Below are 27,453 nucleotides of genomic sequence, written 5' to 3' on the forward strand. Positions count from 1 at the left end.
TGTCTCTAATAAAGTACAAAAAAAAATTAGCTGGGTGTGGTGGTGCACGCCTGTGATCCTAGCTACTTGGCAGGCTGAGGCAGGAGAATCACTTGAACTGAGGAATTAAGAGGTTGCAGTGAGCCAAGACTGCACCACTGCACTCCAGCCTGGGCAACAGAGCAAGACTCCAACCCCGACACCCCGCCCCATCCCCCAACAAAAGTACAAAGGTGTGCACGAAAAATGACACAAAACTAAAACTTAAACACAAATTACTTCTGGCCAGGCGTGGTGGCTTATGCCTGTAATCCCAGCACTTTGGGAGGCCGAGGCAGGCAGATCACAAGGTCAGGAGATCAAGACCATCCTGGCCAACATGGTGAAACCCCATCTCTACTAAAAATACAAAAATTAGCTAAGTGTGGTGGCGCGTGCCTGTAATCTCAGCTACTCGGGAGGCTGAGGCACGAGAATCACTTGAACCCAGGAGGTGGAGAGTGCAGTGGGCCGACATCACGCCACTGCACTCCAGCCTGGCAACAGAGTGAGACTCCATCTCAAAAAAAAAAAAAAAAATTATTTCTGCAGAAGAATAAGGTTTATCACGTGTGCCTTAAAACCATGGATACGCCAGGCATGGTGGCCCACACCTGTAATCCCAGCACTCTGGGAGGCTGAGGTGGGTGGGTCACGAGGTCAGGAGTTTGAGACCAGCCTGACCAACAAGGTGAAACCCCGTCTCTACTAAAAATACAAAAATTAGCAGGGTGTGGTGGTGAGCGCCTGTAGTCCCAGCTCCTCGGGACGCTGAAACAGGACAATTGCTTGAACCTGGGAGGCAGAGGTTCCAGTGAGCCAAGATCACGCCATTGCACTCCAGCCTGGGCAATGGAGCGAGACTCTGTCTCAAAACAAACAAACAAACAAAAACAAAAAGAAAGTACTTTTTAAAAAACCATGGATAAAAATAGACAAATACTAAGGCATATTATCATGCATTTTCAAAATATTGAAGCCAAAGGAAAAATCCTGCATGCTGTCAGAGGTTGAGAAAAACAGGTGTTACACAAAGACTCAAGAGTTAAATGGGGCCATGGCTCATGCCTATAATCCCATTACTTTGGGAGGCCAAGACAGGACGAGCACTTGAGGCCAGGAGTTTGAGACCAGCCTGGCCAACATAACGAGACCATGTCTTAAAAAAAAAAAAAAAAAAAATTAGCTGGGCATAGTGGTGCACACCGGGTTGGAGACACCAGTGAGCCATGATTTAGCCACGCTCCAAACTGGGCAACAGGGTGGGACCCTGTCTCGGAAAAAAAAAAAAAAAGTTAAATGGCATGAAATTTCTTAACACCACACTAGGAGTTAGAAGAAAATGAAGTGAGGCCCTTAAAAGCTTCTTAAAAAAATTATTTCCTATCTAGAATTCTAGATACAGTGACAGAGGAGAGTATTATTTTTTCCTTTTATTTTGAAATAATTATATTCATAGGAAATTGCAAAAAATAGTACCAAGAGGTCCCATGTACCCTTCAACCAGTTTCTCCCAATATAATGTTTTTATGTTACATAGAAACAAGAGCTATACATATAAACAAGGTACACAGTACAATATTACTACCAGGAAACTGGCCAGACATGGAGGATGTGGTGGCTCATGCCTGTAATCCCAGCACTATGGGAGGCCAAGGTGGGCAGATCACTTGAGGTCAGGGGTTCGAGATCACCTGGCCAACATGGCAAAACCCCATCTCTACTAAAAATACAAAAATTAGCTGGGTGTGGTGGCTAATCCCAGCTACTCAGGAGGCTGAGGCAGGAGAATCGCTTGAACCCAGGAGGCAGAGGCTGCAGTGAGCAACAGTGAGACTCTGTCTCAAAAAAAGAAAAAAAATAAAACAAAAACAAAAACGAGGAAACTGACATCGATACAATCAAAAGACCATGAATGGAGATTTTTTTTTTTTTTTTTTTAATACGGAGTCTCGCTCTGTCACCCAGGCTGGAGTGTAGTGGCGAGATCTCGGCTCACTGCAAGCTCCACCTCCCAGGTTCACGCCATTCTCCTGCCTCAGCCTCCAGAGTACCTGGGACTACAGACGCCCGCCACCACACCCGGCTAATTTTTTTGTACTTTTAGTAGAGACGGGGTTTCACCACATTAGCCAGGATGGTCTCGATTTCCCGACCTCGTGATCCACCCGCCTCAGCCTCCCAAAGTGCTGGGATTACAGGCGTGAGCCACTGCGCCCGGCCCCGGAGATGGTTTAAATGTGAAAATTCCCTTCCCAAGCACTCTCCCTCAGGATGCTACTGGAATGGGGCCATGCAGGGTGGCTCATGCCTATAATCTCAGCACTTTGGGATGCTGAAGCAGGAGGATCACTTGAACCCAGGAGTCTGAGACCAGCCTGGGCAAAAAACTGAGACCCCCCCACCTCAATTTTTTAAAATTCAGAAAAAAATTTTTTTTAAAAAAAAGCTACTAGAATGTGTTCCACTAAAGTAAAGAAGTAATACTCACGCCTGTAATCCCAGCACTTTGGGAGACCGAAACGGGTGGATCAAGAGGTCAGGAGATCAAAACCATCCTGGCTAACATGGTGAAACCCTGTCTCTACTAAAAATACAAAAAATTAGCCAGGCGTAGTGGCATGTGCCTATAATCCCAGCTACTCGGGAGGCTGAGGCAGGAGAATTGCTTGAACCCGGGAGGCGGACGTTGCAGTGAGCCAAGATCATCGCGCCTTTGGACTCCAGCCTGGGCAACAAAGCGAGACTCGGTCTCAAAAAAAAGCAAAACAAAACAAAAAACAAGGCCAGGCGTGGTGTCTCACGCCTGTAATCCCCGCACTCTGGGAGGCTGAGGTGGGTGGATCCCCTGAGGTCAGGAGTTCAAGACCAAGACCAAGGTTGCAGGTTGCAGTGAGCCGAGATCCAGCCTGGGGGACAGAGCAAGACTCTGTGTCTCAAAAAAAAAAAAAAAAAAAAAAAAAGTAATGCAAAAGCAAAGATGTGGAATTCAGGAAATAAGAGGATCTAACACAGTATGAGGCAAAAGGAATTCCTGGGATGATGGTGAAGAAAAAGCCCAAGAAGACATCAGTGCAGCAACATGGAGAGCAACACGCTTAAAGTGGAATAATGTCAGAGGGCTCAGGGAGCAATTTCTTCAAGATGAAAGTGACAGAATATCTAGAATACCTGAACACACTGAAAGAAGATGATCTGGGAAACAAAATGTTCAGCAGGAAAGGCAAGGTAACACAGTAACATAGCTGAGCTGTGAAGAGCATTTATACAGTCCTTAAAATCTATTTTTTTTTTTTGAGACGGAGTCTTGCTCTGGCAAGACTGGAGTGCAGTGGCGCGATCTCGGCTCACTGCAAGCTCCACCTCCCGGGTTCACACCATTCTCCTGCCTCAGCCTCCCGAGTAGCTGGGACTACAGGCGCCCGCCACCACGCCCAGCCAGTTTTTTGTATTTTTAGTAGAGCTGGGGTTTCACCATGTTAGCCAGGATGGTCTCGATTTCCTGACCTCGTTATCCACCTGCCTTGGCCTCCCAAAGTGCTGGGATTACAGGCGTGAGCCACCGCGCCCAGCCAACAGTCCTTAAAATCTTACAATGTAAACCCTGAATACAATCTAACCAAAATTCTACCATAACTACTAGTGAGGAGTTTGGAGAGCAGAAAATGTGCATGTTTGTGGTGGGAGTAAGGGAGTGAGGAGAGAGGTAAATCTTCGGCTTCCGTGGTTTATGGTTAATAAGTAAGGCCTAAATCCAATACACCAGGCAGTACCAATTAGAGGCTGAGACAGGAGAATTGCCTAAGGCCAAAAATTGAAGACCAGCCTGGGCAATATAGGGACACCCCATCCCTAAAAAAAAAAAGTTTTTTGCCAGGCACAGAGGCTCACGCCTATAATTCCAGCACTTTGGGAGGCCGAGGTGGGCAGATCACCTGAGATCAGGAGTTCAAGATCAGACTGACCAACATGGTGAAATTATGTTTCTACTAAAAATATAAAAATTAGCCAGGTGTGGTGGCGCATGCCTGTAGTCCCAGCTACTTAGGAGGCTAAGGCATGAAAATTGCTTGAACCCGGTAGGTGGAGGTTGCAGTGAGCTAAAATTGTGCCACTGCACTCCAGCCTGGGTGACAGAGACAGATTCTGTCTCAAAAAAATAAAATAAAATAAATAAATAAATAAATTTAATGGCCAAGCACAGTGGCTAATGCATATAATCCCAGCTCCTTGGGAGGCTGACGTTGGAAGAATGCTTGAGCCTAGGAGTTCAAGGCTGCAGTGAGCTATGACTATACCACTGTACTCCAGCCTAGGCAGGAGAGTAAGACCTTGTCTCAAGAAAAATACAAAAACACAATGAAACCAAAGGCTGGGCATCATGGCTCACGCCTGTAATCCCAACACTCTGGGAGGCCGAGCTGAGGCAAGAGGACTGCTTGAGGTCAGGACTTCAAGACCAGCCTGGGAAACAAAATGACACCCTGTCTTCACACAAAATAAAATAATCGGCTAGCCTTGGTGGCATGCACCTGTAGTCCAAGCTACTTGGAAGGCTGAAGTGGAAGGATCACCCAGGAATTTGAGGTTGCAGTGACCTATGATTGTGCCCATGCACTCCAGCCAGGATGACAGAGTGAGAACCTGTCTCTAAAAAAAAAAAAAAACATAAATAAATATCTAAATAAAAAAGAAGGCTGGGGGCAATGGCTCACATTTGTAATCCCAGCACTTAGGGAGGCCGAGGCAGATGGATCACCTGAGGTCAGGAGTTCGAGACCAGCCTGGCCAACATGGTGAAACCCCGACTCTACTAAATACAAAAATCAGCTGGGCATGGTGGCAGGGGCCTGTAATCCCAGCTACAAGGGAGGCTGAGGCAGGAGAATCACTTGAACCCAGGAGGCAGAGGTTGCAGTCAGCCAAGATCGCACCATTGCACTCCAGCCTGGGGGTCAAGAGCGAGACTCCATCTCAATCAATCAATCAATAAGTAAAAAGAGTTGAGAAAAAGTATATAGGCTGGGCCTGGGCGACAAGAGCGAAACTCCATCTCAATACATACATACATACATACATACATACATACAGACACAGACACACACAAACACACACACACACACACACACACATACATGCATACATACAAACACAAAATTGAGAAAAAGTATATAGGCTGGGCACGGTGGCTTATGCCTGCAATCCTAGCCTCTGGGAAGCCAAAACTGGTGGATCACTTGAGGTCAGAAGTTCAAGACCAGCCTGGCCAACATGGTGAAACCCGTATCTACTAAAAATACAAAAAATTAGCTGAGCGTGGTGGGCACGCCTGTAATCTCAGCTATTTGGGAGGCTGAGGCAGGAGAATCACTTGAACCCGGGAGGCGGAAGCTGCAGTGAGCCAAGATCATGCCACTATACTCCTGCACTCCAGCCTGGGTGACAGTGCAAGATTATGTCTGACCAAAAAAACAAAACAAAACAAAAACCCAAAGCATGTAAGTGGAATACTGCATATCATTTCTAGAAAGTTCAAGAAAGAGAATTATTACAGGGAAACATGGATTTGTGGAATCTTTTAAGAGGATGAAGATACTCCAGAGGAACGTAATGAATGAATCAATGTCCCTGAAAAGGCAACAGGGGAATTAATCTAGTATATAAGTAGGAGAAATTAGCTTTAGATAAAAGAAGGTTCTTCTTTTCTTTGAGAATAACAAGAGAAAAGAACAGATATGTGTTGGTGAGGTGCCTGGATAGTGCATGCAGGAAACACTCACTTTAATGATGTTGTCAGGAGCTCTGTTCATGTTGAGGTTCTTGATTCTCACTGTCAGTTGGCGGGCAGTCTTGCAGGTTAGAAGGTACTTGCTGATTAGAGGGTTAAGAAACTCAGTCCCTTCAAAATGCTTCAGTCCTAAAGCTAACAAACTGAGAAAGGAGCAATAACACTAAATCTCACTTCACAGTCCTTCCTTCTAAAGGGCCTCCCCAGACTAACACATTTTACAATCTACTTTTTCTTACTTGTTCTTAAAACAAGGTCTCACTCTGTCACCTGGGCTGGAGTGCAGTGGCGTGATCGCAGCCCACTGCAGCTGCTACTTCCTAAGCTGAAGCGATTCTCCAGTCTCAGCCTCCCAAAGTGCTGAGATTACAGGCATGAGCCCATGGCGTGTGGCCCAATCTACTTTTTCATTTTTTTCAGACAGGGTTTTGCTCTGTTGTCCAGGCTGGAGAGCAGTGGCATGATTACAGTGCACTGCAGTCTTGAATGCCTGGGTTCAATCGATTCCCGCACTTCAGCCTCCTGAGTATCTGTGGCTATAAACGTTTGCTACCATGCCTAACTAATGTTTTATTTCATTATTTGTAGAGACCAGTTCTCACTTTGTTGCCTAGGCTGATCTTGAACTTCTGGCCTCAAGTGATCCTCCTGCCTCGGCCTCCCAAAGTGTCGTCATTACAGGTGTGAGCCACCATGGCTGGCCAATCTACTTTTTCTACAACTAATTCTTGTAGTGACTACTACAAGTTGGTGACTACTCAGTAGAAAATTTCAGGTATTTAGTGAGTAGTGATTAAGTACTATGAATAAGAATCAAATAGTTCACAATTAAGTAGGAGCAAGAGAAACTAGTCATAAATCATCAATAAATGTCAGATCATGATGAGCTGTATATTAACAACACAAAGGAAGTTCAAAGAGAATACATGGGAAGGAGAATGATTCTAATAAAACAAATATAAAATGAATAATAGGTACCCCGTCAGACAAATTAAACTGGCACCAATACTACCCTCTAACATAACATATATAATCATGGTTACATATATACATATTTGCTGTTAACAGTGTGGCAATACACACAAAGGGCCATAAAAATGTTCATAATCTAGCTGGGTGTGGTGGCTTATGCCTATAGTCCCAGCACTTTGGGAGGCCAGGAGTGGGAGGATCATTTGAGGTCAGGAATTCAAGAGCAGCCTGGGCAACACAGAGATACCCTCACCTGTACAAAAAAAATCAGCCATGTATGGTGGCACACGCTTGTGGTCCCAGCTACTCCATGGAGGCTGAGGCAGGAGGATCACTTGATCCCAGGAGTTCAAGGCTGCAGTGAGCTGTGATTGCAACACTGTACTCCAGCCTGGGTGACAGAGTAAGATCCTGTCTCTAAATAAATAATAACATTAGAAAAGCCAACCTCCTGCCTTGGCCTTTCAAAGTGCTGGGATTACAGGTGGGAGCCGCCATGTCCAGTCTAAAACATTTTAAAAATGTGTGTAACATCCCCCCAAAAAGCAGTATTTGGCACTGCTAGAACAAGCACGTTCTAGAGGACTCTGCTCATCTATACTGCTTTTCCTTTTGTGTCCATGTCTTATTATACAAGTCTTACTTCCCCTAAACTCCTCAAAGGAACTACATCTTCTCCTTGGGATATTTGATCCCCCAGAGTAAACACTTACTTGTCCTCAGCCTTGGTGAAGAGGATCTTATCCTGGGGATTCTTTGCCTTCAGGGAACACACTGGAAGTAACTCTGGATACATGAAAACCTTGCTTGTGGCCAGGATCCAAGCCACTTGCTTTGGCAAACAGGGAAATTCATTGGCTATAAGAAAATAAATCTCTGATAAATCAACTTCTAGGAAAAAAGAGGGCTTCAAAAAGCCTGTGAATGCATTTTTGCATTTAGGTAGAGCTGTCCTTATCTAACTTGATTCCCTCCCATCTGCCTACCACTCCCCAAAGAGTTTCCACAGTCTTTCCTCAACTAACATTAGGTCTAAAGGGAGTCCCATTCACTGGCAATAAAAGTTGACTTTTTTTTTTTTTTTTTTTAGACGGAGTCTGGCTCTGTCGCCCAGACTGGAGTGCGTGGCGCAATCTTGGCTCACTGCAAGCTCCGCCTCCCGGGTTCAGGCCATTCTCCTGCCTCAGCCTCCTGAGTAGCTGGGACTACAGGCGCCTGCCACCACGCCTGGCTGATTTTTTGTATTTTTAGTAGAGACGGGGTTTCACTGTAGACAGGATGGTCTTGATCTCCTGACCTTGTCATCCGACAGCCTCGGCCTCCTAAAGTGTTGGATTACAGGCGTAAGCCACGGCGCCCGGCCTCTCTTACTCTTTCTTACGTGTAACACTTTATTCACAAAGTAAAACAAACACTTAAAAAGTACCTAGTAATACCTGTCACATAGTGTATGCTCAAAAATGTTTTACCTCCTTTCCCCTTTAAATCTCTGAAGGATAACAGACCTTCAACAATGCTTTTTTCTTCCAGGATAAGATTCCAGGCCAGGCGTGCTGGCTCACGCCTGTAATCCCAGCACTTTGGGAGGCCGAGGCAGGTGGATCACCTGAGGTCAGGAGTTCAAGACCAGCCTGGCCAACATAGTGAAACCCCATCTCTACCAAAAATGTAAAAATTAGCCAGGCATGGTGGCACGCACCTGTAATTCCAGCTACTTGGGAGGCTGAGGCAGGAGAATTGTTTGAACCTGGGAGGCGGAGGTTGCAGTGAGCCGAGATCACCCCACTGCACTCCAGCCTAGGTGACAGAGCGAGACTCCATCTTAAAAAAAAAAAAAAGAAAAAAGATTCCAACTTCTTTAATCTCCCTCACAAACCTGGTATTCCAAATTTTACTTTTATTTCATTCTTTCTTAACTTTCATTAAGTTCTCCCAGATTCCTCCTGAGGTTGGGAACAAAAGAACCATAAAAGGAATGAGACAATTCAGTCTCATTCATTTCTGTCTCCCTCTCTCAGCCTCTCAATTTTAGGCACCTCTGCATTTCTAGAGACAAAACTACTATATCCATATTTCTCCTTCCATAAGTGTCATTTTTATATCTCCAGAAGAAAAACACAGGACACTAGATGTGTAAGATAATACTATAATTTGGTATTAAATCACGTTTTCATTACCATTTCATATAATATAGCTATTAAAGTAGTTTGGGATCTGTGTCTATGATATAGTACACTTAAATTCAACTACATTCAATGTAATGATAAGACTTAGGGATTTAAAATAGAATCCAAAGACAAACCCAAATCCAGAACAAACCACAACTAATTTGCTAAGTCAGCAAACAAATCAGAAGTAAATATTTGGCTTAAGTAAATAGCAAATATTTTCTCAAAAAATACTAAACCAATGCAAGGTAGAATCTAAACCGGCAAATTTCTTTAAAATACTGAACACGGCAAATGTACAATCTCTAATTTACGCCTAACTTGCAAGTCAACATTTCATTCAGAATGGAGATATCACCTATGCTACAATCATTATGGTAAATAAAGTTAGTTGATCTTAATGAAGAGAATAAAAAGCTAAACATGACCGAACTTTACCACCTGACTTTCATCTTTACCAGGCCCCAGTTTATCTTGATCTGATTCCTAATACTTACCCCTCATATTGCTGTAGTCCAATTCTTAGCACTGAGCCTCAGATCTCTACCTCCCATATTCCTATACTGTCCACTGCCTCCATGCCTTACCCAGGCCCGGAGATTATCATGTAATTCTAGAACTTGGATAATGAGTACAAAGGGAGGATAAAAGAGAGAAGGAAGAAATTACAAATGTCCTGTGTCCTCCATTCCTAGGCAAGTATCCTAGGAAGTTATCTATGGGATAAGATTCCCACCACCTCTCACCGCAAGTAAAAACTTAAAGCTGACACATCTGTCTCCTACCAGTCTTCTTGACAGTTTTATGAGGGCTGCAGTCAATGCTGACATGTGTGCTGAAGTCTTCAATCAGCTGCATAGCTCCCATCAAGTTACAGGGTTGGAACAGGGTCTGAAACTTGGGGTTGTACTGATGGTGAAGGGCGATGGAGCTTTGAGCAAAGGTTCCCAGCTCTTTCTGGGAAAACACGACACAAGGAAGATCTAAGACAATTCCAGACAATTAATACCAATAGCCTTCAGAATCTAAATGAGAAGCTGACCTTCCTACTACAGGATAAAAACAGGTAAAAATAATCATAAAGTCTTTCACAATAAACTACTGTTAAGATTATGCCTGAGTTCTCAGATATTCAGGGATTATATTCTTGTTTTATTTTTAAACTGTTTCTCACTAAGGAATACATGGTCTAGCTCCCGAGCTAGAATTAAGAGTCTCAAGAATGGGGACTATTACTTTAATTTAATTAATTAATTTATTTTGAGACATGGTCTCACTCTGCCGCTCAGGCTGGACTGCAGTGGCATGATCTCAGCTCACTGCAAACTCCCCCTCCCAGGCTCAAGCCATCCTCCCACTGCCTCCTGAGAAGCTGGGACTATAGGCATACACCTCCAAACCTAGCTGATTTTTGTATTTTTTGCAGAGACAGCGTTTTCCCATCTTGGCCAGGCTGATCTCGAACTCCTGGGCTCACAATCCGCCTGCCTCGGCCTCTCATAGTGCTGGGATTACAGGGATGAGTCACCTCACCCGACCAGGACCATTACTTTTAAAATTGTTTTGTCTTTTGGTCTCAGAATAATGCCTACAACCAAGTACTCCTCATCCTCCTCTGAATACAGTAAGAGATGAAGACATCCTGTTGATCACCAAGGAAGTTTTAGAATACTAGCAAATGTACTCTTCAAAATCCAAAGAAGACTTACTGAAGAAGCTGAGAGTATTATCATTACCTGTCCAAAAGTTTGAGGCAATTTTTATGAGGTAAAGTATGGTTTTGTTTTTGTGAGACAGGTTCTCACTCTGTCACCCAGGCTGGAGTGATATATAAGCACGGCTCCCTACAGTCTCAACGTCCCAGGCTCAAGTGATCCTCCTACCTCAGTCTCCCAAGTTGCTGGGACTACAGGCACTCGGCACCATCCCCAGCTAATTTTTTTATTTTTTATTTTTTTGGTAGGGATGGGGTCTTACTATGTTGCCCAGGCTGGTCTCAAACTCCTGGGCTCAAGCAATCCTCCCACCTTGACCTACCAAAGTGCTGGGACTACAGGCATGAGCCACCATACCTGGCCAAATTTCAAATTTAAAATCTCAAAATAGGCCGGGCGCGGTGGCTCACGCCTGTAATCCCAGCACTTTGGGAGGCCGAGGTGGGCGGATCACGAGGTCAGGAGATCGAGACCATCCCGGCTAAAACGGTGAAACCCCGTCTCTACTAAAAATACAAAAAATTAGCCGGGCATAGTGGCGGGTGCCTGTAGTCCCAGCTACTTGGGAGGCTGAGGCAAGAGAATGGCGTGAACCCGGGAGGCGGAGCTTGCAGTGAGCCGAGATCCCGCCACTGCACTCCAGCCTGGGCGACAGAGCGAGACTCCGTCTCAAAAAAAAAAAAAAAAAAAAAAAAAGCTCAAAATACCTCAAAACGTCATGAGCAAAACTAGCTCTACACATAAAACACTAATATTGAGCTTCATGAATGGATAATGAATTCAACATCTACATGTATATTTACTTCATTATTTAAATTAAAACAAAACAAAACAAAAAAAACACAGACCGGGTCTTACTATGTTGCCCAGGCTGTTCTTGACCACTGGGCTCAAGTGATCCTATCACCTCAGCCTCCCAAAGTGCTGGAATTACAGGTGTGAGCCACTATGCCCAGCCTCAACATCTATGAAATGAATAGCGGTACCAAAAACCTAAGAAGTCAGGGTGAATCTAAAGATGAGGAGGAGGACCCAATAAAAATATCAGAAGGACAGGCCAGGCGCAGTGGCTCATGGCTGTAATCCCAGTACTTTGGGAGGTAGAGGTGGGCAGATCACTTGAAGTCAGGAATTCGAGACCAGCCTGGCCAACATGGCAAAACCCTGTCTCTACTAAAAATACAAAAAAAATTACCCGTGGTGGTGCCCGCCTGTAGTCCCAGCTACTTGGGAGGCTGAGGCAGGAGAATCACTTGAACCCGGGAGGCAGGGGTTGCAGTGAACTGAAATTGTTCCACCGCACTCCATCCTGGGTGAAAGAGCAAGACCCTGTCTCAAAAAAGAAAAGAAAAAATTGAATACACTCTTTGTCCTTTCATGTGAATCAGTGGCTTATGTTCACTCAGCAAACATAGGAAGCCACAGCAATCAAAAATACCTGAGAGAATAACTGTGAGAAATAACCTGCCAAGCTAATTTTATATTCTAGTCTATAGAATTACGGCAATTTGGAAACTTACAAGACATATCCTGGTGCTACTGGCCTCCGGATTGAGATTGGGGTTGCAGGTGGCAAGAAGGTGGATTTGTGTCAAGAGCTGAACATGCTGGGGAGAGAAAGAAAATAATGCAGTGATATGTTATGACACTGCCATTTCAGGAGCCCAGAGATATTTTTTTTTCCCCCTGGAGACAGGGTCTTGCTCTGTCACACAGCTTGGAGTGCAGTGGTGCAACCATGACTCAATGCCCTCTCAACCACCTGTGCTCAAGCAATCTTCCCACCTCAGCCTCCCAAGTAGCTGTGACCACAATGCCTGGCTAATTTATTTTATTATTATTATTATTATTATTTTTAGACAGAGTCTCGCACTGACTTTTGGGCTGGAGTGCAATGGCGTGATCTCGGCTCACTGTAACCTCTGCCTCCCAGGTTCAAGTGATTCTCTTGCCTCAACCTCCCGAGTAGCTGGGATTACAGGTGCCCGCCGCCACACCCAGCTAATTTTTTGTTTTCGTAGAGACGGGGTTTCACCATGTTGGCCAGGCTTGCCTCAAACTCCTGACCTCATGATTCACCCGCCTTGGCCTCCCAAAGTGCTGGGATTACAGGTGTGAGCCACTGTGCCCAGCCTTATTTTTATTTTTTGTAGAGACAGAGTCTCACTATGTTGTCCAGGCTGCTTTTGAACTCCCCTGCTCAAGCAATCCTCCCACCTCAGCCTCCCAAAGTGCTGGGATTACATGTGTGAGCCACTGCACCCAGCCACCAGAGAGTCATTAACTAAGATGTTTGCAACTTTATGACACAAATTTTGCTTTCTGCAAAGAGTGTGAGAACAACGTAGGATCTTGGCATAAATTTCTCAGACATGTTCCCTTGAACAAAATGACAGAACCAGAGGAAGTTTAACCTCTAAACAGAGGAGGAACTGAGATTAGAAAAGGAAAAGGCCGGGCGCAGTGACTCACGCGTGTAATCCCAGCACTCTGGGAGGCCGAGGCGGGTGGATCACGAGGTTAGGAGATCGAGACCATCCTGGCTAACACAGTGAACCCTGTCTCTACTAAAAATACAAAAAATTAGCTGGGTGTGGTGGCGAGTCCCTGTAGTCACAGCTACTCGGGAGGCTGAGGCAGGAGAATGGCGTGAACCCGGGAGGCAGAGCTTGCAGTGAGCTGAGATTGAGCCACTGCACTCCAGCCTGGGTGACAGAGCGAGACTACGTCTCAAAAAAAAAAGAAAAAAGAAAAGGGAAAAGGGAAAAAAAACTACTTGTCACAGTGAAGGTTAAATTTCAGAATAGATTACTGAGGACTCTTTGAAATCTGTAATTCCGAATACCATTAGGGTCCTTATGTGCTGTCTTCCCTGAGCCACAGGACATGAACATGATGACTTCTCAAGCTCCTAACTGATGTGAAGATACTACGGTTTTAATACGTAGTAAGGTAACTATCTCTGACATTTACAAAGCTGCTAATTTTAGATTATACCAAAGCCTCAGAGTTAGGCCTTGGTATAATTCAATATTAATATGACCAAGGAAAGTGTTACCTGCTGCATCTGCTGCTGGAGTCTCTTCCTTTGTGCTGGGTCCAGAATCAGGGTCTGATGAACTTCCTTACACTGGGGTTTAACCTTCTCTACCTCCTTCTGCTGTTTGGCTGAAGGTTTCTTCATCTTCAGCTGTTCAAATAGTTCCTTCGCTATCTGATGTTGTTCATTTAGTAGGTTGGCCAGTAGTTCCTCAAACCTATCCCAAACGGGGATGACTGAATTTGAGTGTTTTCCTAGGTCCACAACACATCCAATTCTTTGCAATGATGAGCAAAGAGCCTGAACAATTTTCATTCCCTACTAATCCCCCCTTTTCACTTTAGCCAACAGTCAAACTCCCAGCCTTACACAAATCTTTTCCCAAAGTAGTTAGCATGCATCAAATGATTCTGTATTACACCCCATCCCATTCCTCTACAATTCCTCTTCCAAATAATATACAAATGAAGAAAAAATTAAACAAAAAACTAGGGACAGAGAAATATATGGGTAAGAAAGCAGCCAAGGAGCTGGTGGGAACTCATCATTCTCATTTCTTCTCTCATTACTTGTTACTCCCTGGGATGTTACTCCCATCCCAGGTCCAGCTTGTCCCATTATCCTATCTACTCAGGCTGCACTGCCCTGCTTTCTTAACAAGTCAAAGACTTTCTAGCATGAAGCAGGAAAAGGATATACCAAAATAACTGAAGTACATGGTAGTTCAAATGAACAGAACGGAGAAGTTAGTTAAAATATTATCCATGAAGGCTATCTTCTTTTAGCCCTTTAAATTCCTCTTCCAAGGTTCCTAACCCTAACTTCCCATCCATACCCTCCTGAAAGATTGTTTGCAGGGCTGAAGCAAAAATTCCAATACCTAGCATGTCAGTTCTATGTATGATTACTATACCTTTTCTATGTTTACATAGAAAGAAATAAAGGGAGAATAATATACCTAAATGATTAAGCATATGCTGATACCCTATGCAACAGGATAAGATCTGCTGAAGTAGCTATAACAAGCAGGTTATCATATTTCAAGGAACCCCCTATATTACAGCAATAGTTAAATGGTAACGTTTTTCAATAGTTTTTGCAGATAAAGATTACGTTTGAATAAGTTTTCTTTTATAGTATTTACTGTAGGTTTGGGTAGCACAGAGTAAAAACCTGAAGACCGTGGGACTGTCTATACAATCTTTACTGAGAACTGAAAATTTGAACATCCGCGCTACCACCACTGAAGGAACAGAAGAGAAGAAGCATAAAAAAGTAGAAAATGGAAACATAGCCTGCACTTAGTTTTAACAAGGATTATTTAGGTAATTGATAAGGGAAGCCCCAGAGTTTTTGTTTTGACTGTCTTTTTCTCCTCTCTCTTCCTTATTGTGTTTTAAGATGTGCTTACTCTCTATGGACTTACAGAGGGATTTTTATTTAGTCAAAGATTAAAACAAAAACAGGTTTGTATTTGCAATCGAAAGAGAAGCAGAAGCTGCCCAAGTACAGTCATGCGCCACAGAATGTTTCAGTCAATAACGAACCACATAGTCAGAGGTGGCTCCATAAGATTACTGTACCTTTTCTATGTTTACATACATATGTACTTACCATTGTGTTACAACTGCCTACAGTATTCAGTACAGTACAGTAACACACTGTACAGGTTTTGTAGCCTGGGAGCAATAGGTATGCAGTAGGCTAAACCATTTAGGTTTATGTAAGTACATTCTACGATGTTTACACAATGATGAATCGTTTAATGATAGATTTCACAGAGGGTATGACCATGAGATGATATATGACTATATTCCATTGAATACCAGAAGGTAACTGGATTCTAACAGGAATTTTAAATTAGTTCTATATTTTCCAAATTTTAAGAAGTTATAAAGAGTTGATCAGCAAAACCAAAATATTTATTAATCAGATCCTATTATACGTTCCCAGGATGAATGGTTCCATTCTGCTATACCAGAATTTTGTTCTATGAACTATAAATTAAAATAATGGGTCAAATACTGACTTAGCAATCTTGAGATTTTTGATGTAGTTGTATTGTGATATTTGTTGTAATGGAGAATGACTAGTAGTTCTAGTTTTTAAGACATTGGTTGGCCTATCTTATCTTTTTTCACTAAATTGGAAAATCCCTAAAGGTCTAGCTTTCAGATGGAACCCAAGCTCTCTGCTTAGTAGTGCTGTTAAGTTCAAACACAGGACTAATTACAGGGACTATTCTCTTTGCTTTGTTCCACTTATGGCACAAACTGCATCCTGACCTCTCGCCATCGACCTAATGATTATATGCTGCTACAACAGAATAAAGTGCAGATGCAAATCCACCACAAAATGAGGAAAAAATTAAAGCCTCTACTTTCTGGATGCTGTAACACAAGTGCCAACTTTAGGCAAAAAGGTCAGCACGTATGTTTCAGACTCCTTACTGCAGGTGCTTCAGGGTTTGCTCCACTAATGCCTAGGTGACTAACAAATTTTCAGTCACATTTAGCAGATATTAATGGCACATAAAAAGAACAAAAGGGACAGACTGGATATTACAATATAGGGTAGTTTGTGTGGCTGGCCACATTGAGTCCTACATACCTCTCCAGCACCACTCACCCGGAGAAGTGGATATGGATGCCAGCTACTGTTTTTTCTCCCTTCCCAAACAGATACAGCTTGGCCTACAGCTGCACTGCCCCATAACAAGGAGACTTCACTTGACACCTAACTCCTGACAGGACTCTGCATCCTTACATCAGTAACAGAAGCTGGCTGGGGATGAAAAATTGTTAACTGCAACTTCTGAAAACCTTTTCAGAAATAAACTCTTCCTCTATTCCAAATCTCAAGGTCTTCAACTAGCCTACCGTAGAGCTTGAGGGGTGTTAAAGTTAGCTTGAGGCTCAGCCACACGCTCCTCCTCTTCTGGGCCATCATCTTCCATGTTGGAGAATCCCATCTCATCTTGGAACTGTGGGCAAAGGAAAGGGAGGGTTTTCCTGGGGAATGGGCTTTTGAATGTTGCTCCAGTGTTGGGAAGGAAAAGTGAAAACTATAAACAATACTTTAATAATGCTGGCACCCAGAAAGAGCCTACATCAGAACCTTTCTCACTTCAGGACTCCTACAAACCCACATATGGAATGACTATTATGCCAGGAAAGAAGTTGCTCAACCAGTCAACTTGTATCAGTAAGCACAGAGCTAGGATAACTCAAAATGATCAATTTCTTAAACAGAAATATCTTTTTAGACAAATTTATGGAAAAGGTAATTATTTGTGTGCAAAATACTTTAAAACTAGTTGGCAATCTTTAAGGACACACCAAATGACAGTAGGGGAAGCCATCAAAAGTTTTCAAGGGGCAAGATGTGCTGGCTCACACCTGTAATTCCAGCACTTTGGGAGGTTGAGGCAGGAAGATTACTTGAGCCTATGAGTTCCAGAACATGGCAAGACCCTGTCTCTACAAAAAAATAAAATAATTAGCCGGGCCTGTAGGTGTGTGCCTGTAGTCCCAGCTACTCAGGAGGCTTAGATGAGAGAATTGTTTTGAGCCCTGGAGGTCGAGGCTGCTGTGAGCTGAGATTTCACCACTGTATTCTCCAGAGCCTGGGTGACAGAGCAAGACTTTGCCTCAAAAAAAAAAAAAAAAAGCTTCAAGGAAAATTTTAGTAAGAATAACCTACATGTGGATAATCAAGAGTCTAGCAGTTAGCAAATTTCTTTTGTCATTATATTCTTTCCCAGGTAGACTAAAAGGAGAATTGGTTCAGTCCCTCTTCTAGAAGGAGCATCACAGAGATCAAAGGACACATTTTGTTGGAGAACCAACTTACAATCCCATGTTCTCACTTGAGGATCATTACTCACAGTTTCAAACAGATCTTCCATCAGCTCATTTGCTTCCTTTTCTGCAAAAAAGCCAAACGTTGTTGGTATAAATTAGATTCATTTTACAATATGGAGGAATTCCATGTAGACAATGTATGATGTTTTCAACAAGGCATCTGACGAATTCTTCATATCTATCCTTATTCCTGAGACAGGGTCTCACTCTGTCACCCGGGCTGGAGGGCAGTGGCTTGATCTCGGCTCACTGCAATCTCTGCTTCCCAGGCTCAAGCGATCCTCCCACTTCAGCCCTCCAAGTAGCTGGGGCAACAGGAGTGTGCTGTCATGCCCGGCTAATTCTTCCATATTTTGTAGAGATGGGTTTTCCCCATGTTGCCCAAGCTGGTCTTGAACTCCTGAGCTCCAGTGATCCACCCACCTTGGCTTCCCAAAGTGCTGGGGTTACAGGCATGAGCCACCACGCCCAGCTATCCTTCATTCATTTATTCAAAAACATTTATTGAGTACTTACTATGTTTCAATCCCTGTTTTAGATGCTTGGGATATATGAGAGAATGAGAGAGAGAGAGAGTTCTAATCTCATTGAACTTAAATTCTAATAGGAAGAAGACAAGGAGAAAATGTGAGCTAGATGATTTTTTTTTTTTTTTGAGACGGAGTTTCGCTCTTGTTGCCCAGGCTGGAGTGCGATGACACGATTTTGGCTCACTGCAACCTCCGCCTCCCAGGTTCAAGCTATTCTCCTGCCTCAGCCTCCCAAGTAGCTGGGATTACAGGCATGCACCACCACGCCCAGCTAATTTTGTGTTTTTAGTAGAGATGGGGTTTCTCCATATTGGTCAGGCTGGTCTCAAACTCCTGACCTCAGGTGATCCGCCCACCTCAGCCTCCCAAAGTGCTGGGATTACAGGCATGAGCCACCATGACCAGCCCAATGATTTTATAATTAGATGGCCTATCCAAACCCACACAATACTGAATGGAATCAAGAGACAAGTCTCCCAACCTGGGCAAAATGTCAACATATCTCTAAAAAAAAATTTATCTGGGCTTGGTCGCACATGCATATAGTCCCATATACTTGAGAGGCTGAGGTGAGAGAATCTCTTTGAGTCCAAGAAGCAGAGGCTGTAGTGAGCTGAGACCGTCCCACTGCATTCCAGCCTGAACGACAGAGCAAGACACTGTCTCCAAAAAAAAAAGAGACAGACAGAGACAAGTTTCCAACAGTGTTTCATAGGACTCTATCTTTGGACCCGACCTATTCAAAAACTCCATCAGTGAATTAGAAGACCAAGAGAACATACTTAACAAATCTGTAGATGATGTAAAGCTGTAAAGCTGAAAGGGACTGCCAATCCAATTGATGGAAAATTCAGAATCATATTTTCTCAAATCAACTGGATGTAACACGTAAGGATAAATTTAAAGTTCTACATTGAGGATTTTTTTTTTTTTTTTTTTTTAAATAGAGCCAGGGACTTGCTATGTTGCCCAGGCTGGTCTTGAACTCCTGGGCTCCAGCGATCCTCCCACCTCATCCTCCCAAAGTGCTGGGATTACAGACATGAGCCACCCCACCTGGCAAGATCTTATATGTGTATTCAAGATATTACACAACTCACTAAGTCTCCAGATGAAAACCAGAATCTCTAAATATAGTTTGACAGTTTGACAATGCCCAATGACAGACTAAATGAGAAATTAGGAGGCAGCTTGATTTTTTTTTATTTCCTCAGAGATCTTTGTTCTGAGTTCTGACTCTTGTTCTACAAATATTCAAAGTCGAAATGATTATCATGTTAATGGGTAAAGAGCTTCAAATCTTTGGCTATCTCATTTTTTTTTAATTTTTATTCATTTGTTTTACCTTATGTGTTCCTCTACAATGGTTATCTAGGAAGTTAACAACCATTCTAGCTATCTAGCATTCTGGTTCTTGATATCATGTAAAATGAGCGTTCTGATCTCTGACACACAAAGCTATTTAGAAGATAAAAAATAGACATTTTTTTCAACAATCATTTTACTTTTTTCTCTACATCTACATACTCTACATGTCAGAGTTTTTGTTTCTGTTTTTTCGAGAGTAGCTGGGATTACAGGCACCTGCCACAACACCTGGATAATTTTTTGTATTTTTAGTAGAGATGGGGTTTCATCATGTTGGCCAGGTTGGTCTCCAACTCCTGACCTCAGGTGATCCACCTGCCTCAGCCTCCCAAAGTGCAGGGATTACAGGCATGAGCCACTGCACCCAGCCAAGTACTTTGATTCTTAATGGAGGATTTAATCCACTGACATCCCAAAGGACAAACTATCCAATGGAATTCCTGGATAAAACACAGGCACACAGTGTCTCTTCCTCAGAGGAAAGAAATTTTTGTCAACAGAAGAATTTTGCTCTTCTGGGCGTGGTGGCTCCTGCCTGTAATCCTAGCACTTTGGGAGGCTGAGCCTGGAGGATCACCTGAGGTCAGGAGTTCGAGACCAGCCTGGCCAACCTGGTGAAACCCTGTCTCTACTAAAAATACAAAAATTAGCCTAGCGTGGTGGCTAATGCCTGTAATCCCAGCTACTTGGGAGGCTGAGGCAGGAGAATCGCTTGAACCCGGGAGTCGGAGGTTGCAGTGAGCCGAGATTGCGCCATTGCACTCCAGCCTGGGCGACAAGAGCGAAACTCCATCTCAAAAAAAAAACAAAAAACAAAATTGATTTGCTCTAGCAGAAAAATAATTATATTTCAGGAATTCCTTCAGGAATCCTATACCAGTACTAAAAGATCCTATATTGGAAAATGAAAATGCCCAAATTAATAAGTCCTGAGATAGAGGAGAAGGGATCTTGTTTTGTCCATCACTGTATCTTAGTACCTGGAATAGTGCTTGGCACATAATAAGCATTAAATACATACATGGCAGTCTTGTTTCTGAACCAAAATGAGGTGGTTTAATGAAAGAGATGGGTTTGGCTAGGCGTGGTGGCTCACACCTGTAATCCCAGCACTTTGGGAGGCTGAGGCAGGTGGATCACTTGAGGTCAGGAGTATGAGAACAGCTTGGCTACTGGCTAACATGGTGAAACCCTGTCTCTACTAACAATACAAAAATTAGCCAGGTGTAGTGGTGCGTGCCTGTAAACCCAGCTGCTCAGGACATTGAGGCAGGAGAATCACTTGAATCCGGGTGGCAGAGGCTACAGTGAGTCAAAATCCTGCCACTGCATTCCAAACTGGGCTACAGAGCAAGACTCCATCTCAAAAAAAACAAAACAAAACAAAAAAAACAACAACAAGTGAAATACTGAAATACTGATCAGCTTTAAAAAGAGAACTGTCATAACCACCCCAATTTAGTTCCAAGACTTAGGCTTCCCCACCAAGGCAAAATTAACACAGTAAGAAGGCTATTCCAGTTCATTTTGGAGAAAATCTTGGATTTGGTAAGCAGGTAAAAAGAGCTGGGCATGCTGGCTCACATCTGTAATCCCAGCAAACTGGGAGGCCAAGACAGGAGGATGGCTTGAGGCCAGGAGTTCAAGACCAGATTGATCTACATAGCAAGACCTGGGCCAGGTGCAGTGGCTCACTCCTATAATCCCAGCACTTTGGAAGGCCGAGACGGCTGGAGAACTTGAGGTTAGGAGTTCGTGACCAGCCTGGCCAACGTGGGGAAACCCTGTCTCAACTAAAAATACAAAAATCAGCAGGGCGTGTTGGCACGCGCCTGTAATCCCAGCTATTTGGGAAGCTGAGGAAAGAGAATCACTTGAACCTGGGAGGCAGAGGTTGCAGTGAGGCAAGATTGTGCCATTGTACTCCAGCCTGGGCGAGGAGAGCGAAACTCTCTCTCAAAAACAAAAACAAAAACAAAAAACCATAGCGAGACCTAATCTCAATTAAAAAAATAAAGAAATTGTATACACATACATGCACATATATGCACACTACACACACATATCACATGTACGTTTTGAGAAAAATAACACCATGAACCTACTACCCGTTAAAAATTAGAGAAAATATTAAACTTTTCACAAATTTACATAGCATTCTTATACAGGGGCCATGTCAATAGAAAGAAAGGACTATCAGACAATTTTTCCTAAAACTTCTCCATTATCTCACTGAATCCTATAATCTGTCCTATTAAAACACCTTTTTACATTTCTTGCTTTTTTTTTTTTTTTTGTGAGACAGAGTGTTGCTCTGATGCCGAGGCTAGAGTGCAGTGGCATGATTTCAGCTCACTGCAACTTCCCCCTCCCAGTTCAAGCAATTCTTGGTTCAAGCAATTCTCGTGCCTCAGCTTCCCGAGTAGCTGGGACTACAGGTGCACTCCAACACATGCAGCTAATTTTTTGTATTTTAGTAGAGACGGGGTTTCACCGTGTTGCCCAGGCTGGTCTCGATCTTCTGAGCTCTGACAATCCATCCGCCTCGTCCTCCCAAAGTGCTAGGATTACAGGCGTGAGCCACCCCACCTGACCAATTTCTTGTTCTTTTAAAAGTACAGTAATTATTTTTAAGTTCCAGTAATAAATTAATGGGTAGTCTGTCAAATAGCTACTGGATTTTATATCAGGAGGGCTTTCTACATGTATGTATACCCAAAAATGACATTAAGACCTTTTTACATAAACTCACTGTAGAGATACATCCCAAAACAAGGTAAGGAATATAAATGATGTTTACCTTCTTTTCAAACCAACAGTTCCTTTATACAAAAACACCAGATGATACAAAACATATTTTTTTAAAGTACAAAGTTCCATACAGAATAAAATAAACACTTTATGGTTATTCCTAAGAATAAGTAGTGACAAAAAGTCTTTGCAATTGGGTAATAAAATTTCAGCTTCTAGGAATATGTTTCCCTCTTCCTTGTCCTTTTGAGAGCTGCCACTATCACACAATTCACAGCATCTCTTCAACCACAGAAAATTAGCGTCTCTTCAAGCACAGAGACCATATATTAATTATCTTTGTGTCTCCTGCATAGGATTAACTCAGTGTTTGTTATAACTAAGTTAAACTCCAAGACAGGAGCTTCAAATCACCTCAGGCCCAATCCAAAACTGAAAAAAAGACGCTTCTCAGAGTTTGAGAACAAAAAGATACTGACAAAGAACAAAGCCATAGATACTTGTGCGACATTAGCTTCCCTTTTTACCAAATACAGAGTCATTTACTAATACTGCAGAAATGTTTGCAGACGATAAAAAGAATAAATTAAAAATATGGATCCTGTCAACATGTTCAAATACTAACATAGACTCCTTCACCTTAAACTCATACTAACATCCACACACCCGAACAATGAAAATGAAAGGTTTTCAAATGAGATCTAAATATAAATTGGCTCTATTTCATTACAGTTTAAGTTCCTAAAATCATATATATAAATCATGTGATTGCGCTTATGCTCATCTTCTAACTTGAGGGCCCAGTGTCTTTCATCCGATTCTCTGAAGGATAAGTGACCCCAAAAAACTTTTAAGAACCACTAATCTAGCCTATCAAGAAACATCCCATTTTCCAGAAGAATACAGCTAAGTTGGCTTAGTTCATGCATTCTTACCTCATATTCATAGAGTTCATAGACGGGATCCTTACTACATGAAATCAGTCTTTTTTTTTTTTTTTTTTTTTTTTTTGGAGATGGAGTCTCCTCTGTGGCCCAGGCTGGAGTGCAGTGGCGCAATCTCAGCTCACTGCAAGCTCTGCCTCCCGGGTTCACGCCATTCTCCTGCCTCAGCCTCCCCGAGTAGCTGGGACTACAGGCGCCCGCCACCACGCCCGGCTAATTTTTTGTATTTTTAGTAGAGACGGGGTTTCATCCTGTTAGCCAGGATAGTCTCGATCTCCTGACCTCGTGATTCGATCTCCTGACCTCGTGATCCGCCCACCTCGGCCTCCCAAAGTGCTGGGATTACAGGTGTGAGCCACCGCGCCCTGCCGAAATCAGTCTTTCAAAGGATTCCTTCAGCCCAGCCAAGAAGTTCCAACATCCACAGGCACATATATTAACAATTACCAGTACCCAAAAACAGTTCTCTGGTTTTAATTCCACACTGCCTCCCTCAACTTAATACCTACCACCGTCAAAACAACTCCCCTCAGATTGCATCCAGGCTATTTACAGAGACACCTTGATGATCCTCACCTCAAGGCATGGACCATTCATTGAATGGTTATATTTGTTGAATGAGTGAAAAAGGATCCTTCCTCCCACAGATTTCAAGTTAAGCTGTCAGCACCCATGCAGCTGCTCTGGTACAAGTTAAGCTGTGAAAGCCTTCTCCCTCACGCATACAACCTTAAGTGTCAGAAATGCTCTGCTTCCTCCATAAATCCAAAATAATATAGCCATGGATATGCATTTCATACAGGTCAGACTCGGCAAGGACAGCTACGTTCCACATACATATCTGACACAATCGGTCTCCCCCAAATACAAGCCAACCAGTCTTATGTGCTCCTATCTTTCCAGCATACTCAGATTTGCCGACAAAGACTTCCTGAGGCACCATGGTATGCTGAATATACTGCTGCAGTAGTAGTGAAAATATGGGAGTTACAGTTCCAACTTTGTCACCAATTTAACATGCGGCCTTGGAGAAGTTCTCTCCTTATGCCTAAATTTCCTATTTTGTAAAATGGAAGAAAGCATCCTACCATTTTCACAGAGATTCAGTATCACAAAGAAACTGAAAGAGCTTTCTTATTGTATTGTAAACTATTACTATAAACCCGCGACAACAAATAAGGCCACCCATTCTTTACAGCTTTGTAGCAATGATTCTGTTAAAGATATTTTGGCCCTTCACATTTACACAACTCACTCTAACCAAAGGCACAAACTATTCTTAAGACCACAACTGGCTATGCCAAGTTTCTCCCCTCCCTGACCTCACAGACACATGCTGTACAGAACACTACCATTGCCGCTCTTTCCCAACAAGTAACTAGGGGCTCCCAATCCCTAAAATACACACACATATCAACCTGCAAGGAACCTCCCAACATTTATTCAAGAAATAAGCTAACTTATAAGGGGAACTCCATTACACTTACACAAATAAAGGCAAACTCTTACGGAAACACTTGCCATCCTCACATACACACACCAACACAGCCGCTACACACCAACAGACCATCTGTCTGCTAGACCAAAAACATCTCTTTCCATGTACAAACTAACCAGTGACATTTATTAAACGTACAACACTGAGATCATCCTGTCGTTCCCACATACCGTTCAACGCGGCAGGGACACCACAGACCTTGTCACACAGGTAAAATCCCCTCTCAAGATCGTGTCCTCGACCACTCTTATCCCTTAATTAAACACACACAAACTGGACTATGGGGGAGGCTCCGATCATGCCTACAAACACAAACTAACCTGTCAGGGGCACAGCCGACTCCGCCTCCACTCGCTTACTTCCCAGCCCCCTCCGGGAGTCTGCCTGTCAGGGACACCCCTTCACCCCGCCTGGAGGGACTTCCCGGTAGGCTCAGGATCCCCCTCCCTGCTCTCCCCTCCCCCATCTTCACCACTGCTCTCCCAGAGGTCCAGGTCCGGGAGATGACAGTGGCTCCCAGAAAGCCCAGGATTCAATCGCTGAGAGAGTGCTTAGGCCCGAATGCCGGCCCAAATCGTTCTACTCACCGTGTCGGAGGCCGAGAGCGATGAGAGTACAGGGAAGTGAGGAAGAGGGGGTGGCCGCCAGGCTCCTCCGCTTCCCTGGGTCCACCGCGGATCCCTCCCGCTTGTCAGGAGGCGGCCAGCGGGTAAGCCGACTGGCGGAAATGCGAGAGAGGAGAAGGGAAAGGTGGAGGGCTAAAGGGGCAAACTGAGAGGAGGCGGATCCCGCAACCGACACTGGGATCGTTTCCCCTCGCAAAGCGAACCCAAAATGGCGGCGGCAGCGGCGGCAGCAGAGTGGCCGCGGCAGCTCCTCCAGAGGGAGGGAGCTAAGGGCGCCTAGCGACACCCCCAACCTCCCACTCCTCCCTCCTCGCGTTCTTCCCCACGGTCCCCCGCTTCGCCCGACTCCGGCCATGTAGCGCGCACGTCAGCCCGCACGCGTACGAGTGTCTACGGGCTCGTCGCTGGCTGCTCCCACCAACCACCACCTTCGGCCGTCCTGCGAGCCAGCCATCCCGTACGCGCTCACCCACGGGAACCTCCTCGCCCAGTTCTCCACTCCCCCTCAGACCCTGTCAAGCCGGCTCCAGCGCAGGCCCTCACGCGTACCTTCAGCGGCGCGAGCCCAAGCCTTCTCCACCTCCTCTTCTCTCCTCCCCCTCCCTCCCCGCCCGCACGGCCACCAACCGCCGCCAAAGCAGCCGCCGCCAGCACCCCCACCCTACACTCCTCGCGCGTGCGCCTCCCACAGTCCCCACCGCGGGACTGTTCCATTCCTGGCGGCTGCAGGGGCAGGAGAGGAAGGGACCGGCAAAGCGAGTCTGGCTTGCCGTTTGACTGGAATTGCCAGGGTGGCCGGCCGAGTCCCATGACAACCTACCTCCCTGGGTTCGTCGCCGCGGCGCTGCGGCTCGCCTCCTCCTCCATGGGACCGCGGCGAGGGGATCGAGGGCGGCCTAGCGCCCCTCTGCCGGCCGGTGGTTGGAGGCCGCGGCGGCTGCGCGTTGAGTCGTTTCCTGCCGGATGACCCGACCCTTTTTTGCAGTCTCAGGACGGGCGCTTTGGAGCCGGCCCCAGGCAGCGTGTGTCGGTCGCCTAGTCTGGAGAACTAGTCCTCGACTCACGGTGAGGGAATGGACCGACACGGGTATTGTACCGCTGAGGGAAAGGAGCGGGACTCCGGACCTCCAGGAGGTAGGGAGTGAGGCCGGTAGACCGGCGCGCCTCCGGGGGGGATTCCTCCCGGGCGTTGAGTTGCCAACCTGGGACCCGAGGAAGTTCGGCGTGGTGGTGTGCTTTTTGTTGTTGTTAACCCTCCTCGGATTTCTCGAATTTCACACCACTGTCCATATGCGATGATGTTTGTTTGCCCTTGACGCACTTACTCATGGATGGTACTTCAGCCTCGTTAGACAGCCTGGTGATGGAGGATGAAGAAACCATGTGCTTCTCATTCAGTTCTGGACTCAGTTTCCCTTGTCTTCAGCAAGTTATTTTTGTTAGTTCCTTATCAAAAAGTGTACATAAAAATTAGGCAACTCCAAACATGCCTCCAGGGTTGGTGTGTGAAATAATAAGATAGGGCTGGGCGCGGTGGCTCACGCCTGTAATCCCAGCACTTTGGGAGGCCGAGGCAGGTGGATGACAAGGTGAAGAGATCGAGACAATCCTGGCCAACATGGTGAAACCCCGTCTCTACTAAAAATACAAATATTAGCCGGCCGTGGTGGCGGGCGCCTGTAGCCCCAGCTACTCGGGAGGCTGAGGCAGGAGAATTGCTTGAACCCGGGCGGCGGAAGTTGCAGTGAGCCGAGATCGCGCCACTGCACTCCAGCCTGGCGACAAAGCGAGACTCCGTCACACACACACACACACACACGAAATAATAATATATGTAAAGTGGAATTAGCTCCTAGGCATAGGGAAGGTGCAGAGTATTGCCGTGTTGTCATTTACAGTTCTGTTGATGTCGATAACGTTTGTGGGTGTAATGGGTAGTGTTCTGTCCCTCCAAGTCGTTAATAAAACAAAGCAGGCCGGGCGTCTTGTTAAATAGTTGTATCAATGACTTGATTTAGATTAATGAGGATATATTTTTCAAATTTATGCCTTTTACAAAATTTTTAAAGAGTAGGTAATGTCGGTGATAGATATAAAGAAAGGAAAAGATCTCCAGATGTGGAATCTTCTACTGGATCCTGTAACAGAAAGAAGACATTAGGCTGGGCGCAG

General features: G+C 44.5%; 2 protein-coding genes, 1 non-coding gene and 1 pseudogene across 31 annotated transcripts in view, besides 3 other annotated features; 2 read left to right on the forward strand and 2 right to left on the reverse strand.

Annotated features, from left to right (window-relative positions):
* Positions 1 to 26,168, reverse strand: part of YY1AP1 (YY1 associated protein 1) — a 29,555-nt gene extending 3,387 nt beyond the window's left edge. The window contains exons 1-10 of one of the 12 annotated variants that reach the window (NM_018253.4): positions 25,831 to 25,946; positions 25,243 to 25,373; positions 17,588 to 17,628; positions 17,100 to 17,180; positions 16,581 to 16,684; positions 13,720 to 13,918; positions 12,182 to 12,268; positions 9,732 to 9,903; positions 7,492 to 7,636; positions 5,799 to 5,949 (exon numbers count right to left, since the gene is read on the reverse strand). In NM_018253.4, coding sequence (NP_060723.2) covers positions 5,799 to 5,949; positions 7,492 to 7,636; positions 9,732 to 9,903; positions 12,182 to 12,268; positions 13,720 to 13,918; positions 16,581 to 16,672 — 846 coding nt within the window. In that variant the 5' untranslated portion in view covers positions 16,673 to 16,684; positions 17,100 to 17,180; positions 17,588 to 17,628; positions 25,243 to 25,373; positions 25,831 to 25,946. The other 11 variants (NM_139121.3, NM_139118.3, NM_001198906.2 and 8 more) reach the window with 11 other exon arrangements.
* SCARNA26A (small Cajal body-specific RNA 26A) lies at positions 16,280 to 16,427 on the reverse strand. Its single transcript, NR_132762.1, has one exon.
* DAP3 (death associated protein 3) overlaps positions 25,120 to 27,453 on the forward strand; it is a 51,063-nt gene continuing 48,729 nt past the window's right edge. For 7 of the 18 annotated variants that reach the window (XM_047430087.1, XM_047430093.1, XM_024449697.2 and 4 more), the window contains exons 1-2: positions 25,120 to 25,364; positions 26,267 to 26,346. The gene's annotated coding sequence lies outside the window, so the exon portion shown is untranslated. Of the gene's footprint in view, positions 25,365 to 26,262; positions 26,416 to 27,453 lie in introns of those variants that run through there. The other 11 variants (XM_047430081.1, XM_047430085.1, XM_047430090.1 and 8 more) reach the window with 3 other exon arrangements.
* Positions 25,352 to 25,986: an enhancer, noted in NCBI's record as "H3K27ac hESC enhancer chr1:155657971-155658605 (GRCh37/hg19 assembly coordinates)". NCBI's record gives its function as "activates a minimal SCP1, AML or CMV promoter by ChIP-STARR-seq in primed H9 embryonic stem cells {active_cell/tissue: H9 hESC(primed)}" and the evidence as "EXISTENCE:reporter gene assay evidence [ECO:0000049][PMID:30033119]".
* LOC124904430 (translation initiation factor IF-2-like) lies at positions 25,383 to 26,260 on the forward strand (annotated as a pseudogene).
* Positions 25,822 to 25,871: a silencer, noted in NCBI's record as "silent region_1409". NCBI's record gives its function as "represses an Ori minimal core promoter by ATAC-STARR-seq in GM12878 lymphoblastoid cells {active_cell/tissue: GM12878}" and the evidence as "EXISTENCE:reporter gene assay evidence [ECO:0000049][PMID:35858748]".
* Positions 26,362 to 26,411: an enhancer, noted in NCBI's record as "active region_1818". NCBI's record gives its function as "activates an Ori minimal core promoter by ATAC-STARR-seq in GM12878 lymphoblastoid cells {active_cell/tissue: GM12878}" and the evidence as "EXISTENCE:reporter gene assay evidence [ECO:0000049][PMID:35858748]".

This window comes from Homo sapiens, chromosome 1 (assembly GCF_000001405.40).
Source record: "Homo sapiens chromosome 1, GRCh38.p14 Primary Assembly".
Classification (NCBI taxonomy): Eukaryota; Metazoa; Chordata; class Mammalia; order Primates; family Hominidae; genus Homo; species Homo sapiens.